At 46.9% G+C, this 2,475-nt stretch overlaps 1 annotated feature.

Moving 5' to 3' along the window:
- Positions 313-1,032: an enhancer, noted in NCBI's record as "H3K27ac-H3K4me1 hESC enhancer chr3:186131925-186132644 (GRCh37/hg19 assembly coordinates)". NCBI's record gives its function as "activates a minimal SCP1, AML or CMV promoter by ChIP-STARR-seq in primed H9 embryonic stem cells {active_cell/tissue: H9 hESC(primed)}" and the evidence as "EXISTENCE:reporter gene assay evidence [ECO:0000049][PMID:30033119]".

Below are 2,475 nucleotides of genomic sequence, written 5' to 3' on the forward strand. Positions count from 1 at the left end.
CCACCAAGCAGCAGGGGGTGGGGGCGCTTGCCTCCAACAGGCATGGCTGGAAAAATAAGCAGCTCTGGCTTGTGCTCCTCCCTGTGTCCCTGCCACGACTGTGAAGGGCTAAGAACACAGCAGAAAAGGTTCCAGTTCATTTACAAGCCTCGGCTATTTTTAGTTCATCGATCCCTGGGCGCGGTGTGTGTGTGTTGAGGGGGGCCGGGGGACGGGGCTTGCAGAGCTCACGGTTTGAGGTGGAAGCTGGGGAAAGCTTTAGAATTCTTTTCATAGAACAGGTACTCTGTTCACTACGCACCATCCAGCCTCTGGAGACCTAACCGCTTTTCTTGGGGCAGGAAGAAGGAGCAGTGTCAGGGGAGGGAGGAGACTGAAATGAGAAAGGGAACGAGGCAAGAGGCGGTGACGCCCTTGTGCCAATGACCAAATTGGGTCAGAAAGAACAACCTTTTGAATGCAAGTCAGGAAATGTGAATCGCTGCCTCAGCAGGGCCAGGTGCATGCCTAGTGGGTGCCGGCCCAGCCTGACCAGGGAACTGTGACTGTACCTCCTGCCGCTCTAGAGAACCAGACCGATGACCATCTAGAAGTGCACTGATCTTTATTCCTTGCCTGGTGCCCTGTGGCCAGTTCAATTCCTATTATCAACCCCTCCTTAAAGCTGTCAGGGAAAAGGAAGGAGAAGTTCACATTTAAAGATGGATCTAAATGGTGAAAGAGGTGAAAATCATTGCCTTAAAAGAGATCACCTGTGGATTTTGTGAGTTATTAATTCTATGATCCCTACCGTGTCTGATTCTGATTGGCTATATATAAATTAAAAAACGGCTCTTTTTTCATATCACCTCTACAGCCCCTGCAAGTTAAAAATATCATTACCCGGCTTTTCTCCTTCTAAGTGTAGGCTGCTTGATTTAAGACATTTTGCAAACTTGTCTTTGTTCCAAGGATTTTTAAGCAAAAAAGGTGAGTCATAGTAGCAACTCAATAGATGTTGAGCTGATTTGTGTTACTAAGAAGTTGTGGGTAAATTGCAGTTTTGAATTTTTGGAAACGGAATCATATTGTAAATGTCCTGGACAGTTCAACAGTTGTGGGACTCCTCTGGCGAGTCCTATGCAGAAACCTCCTCTTACTTGAGTCACTCAGCAGCATTCGATGCAATCACCCATGGCTTCCTTCTTGAAACGGGTGTGATTCCTTGACCCTCACACTCACTTGGCTTGTCCCCAGGTTGCTGACTGTTCCTTCTCAGGCTCCTCTGCTGTCCTCCCTGCCTCTACCACACCTCAGTGTACTGGAAGGACCTGCATTCTACCTTTGTTCCTCCTGGCTTCATTTCCTCCTTCCTAGAGAAAACTGGAGGATGCCCATCCTGGCACTCTGATGACTCTCAAATTTCTGCCTGCCTTTTCTTTTCTTTTCTTTTCTTTTCTTTTCTTTTCTTTTCTTTTCTTTTCTTTTCTTTTCTTTCTTCCTTCCTTCCTTCCTTCCTTCCTTCCTTCCTTCCTTCCTTCCTTCCCTTGTTTCTTTCTTTCTCTCTCTCCTTTTTTTTTGTCTTGCTCTATCACTCAGGCTGGAGTGCAGTGTCATGATCTCAACTCACTGCAGCCTCTGCCTCCCGGGTTCAAGCAATTCTAGTGCCTCAGCCTCCTGAGTAGCTGGGATTACAGGCGCCAGCCACCACTCCTGGATAATTGTTTTGTATTTTTAGTAGAGATGGGGTTTCACTATGTTGGCCAGCCTTGTCTTAAACCTCTGACCTCAGGTGATCTGCCCACCTCGGCCTCCCAAAGTGCTGGGATTAGAGGCTTGAGCCACCGCACCTGGTCGACTGCCAAATTTCTATCTCTAGCTGGATCTCTCGCTGAGTTCTAGATGTGCAAACACCACTGCCTGCTGGCCATCATCACCTGCCTGTCCGTTAGGCAGCTCGAACTTAGCAAGGACAAAATTGATAGATTGCTTTTTATCCCTTAAAATATACCTCTCCCCTAGTGTTCCCCATTTCAGTATATGTGGCATCATCAACCCAGCTGCTAGAGCCAAAAAACCAGCAATCATTCTTGATTCCTCTCTTTCGTTCATCCCCTACACTCAATTCATTTGTAATCCTGCTGGTTCTAATGCAGTGTATAATCAGGATCTGGTCACTTCTCAGCACCTCTGCTGTTCTGCCATCCCTCCCTGGACTATTTCACCAGCCTCTTTCCCAGGTCCCTGCTTCCTCCCTTGCCTTCCAGTCCATCCTCCATAGAACAGAGCAATCCTTTTAAAAATATAAATCAGACTCTATCACTCCTCTGCTTAAAACCCACACTGATAATAACATCCAGCTTCCTCATCGAGGCCTTCACCAGTCTAAATCAAGGGTTAACAAATTATGGCCCTTTGTTTCTCTCTCCCACCACTTTTTGTAAATAAAGTTTTATTGGAGCATGCACACCCCCATCACCCCCATCTATAGATGAC

This window comes from Homo sapiens, chromosome 3 (genome assembly GCF_000001405.40).
Source record: "Homo sapiens chromosome 3, GRCh38.p14 Primary Assembly".
In the NCBI taxonomy this organism is placed as follows: Eukaryota; Metazoa; Chordata; class Mammalia; order Primates; family Hominidae; genus Homo; species Homo sapiens.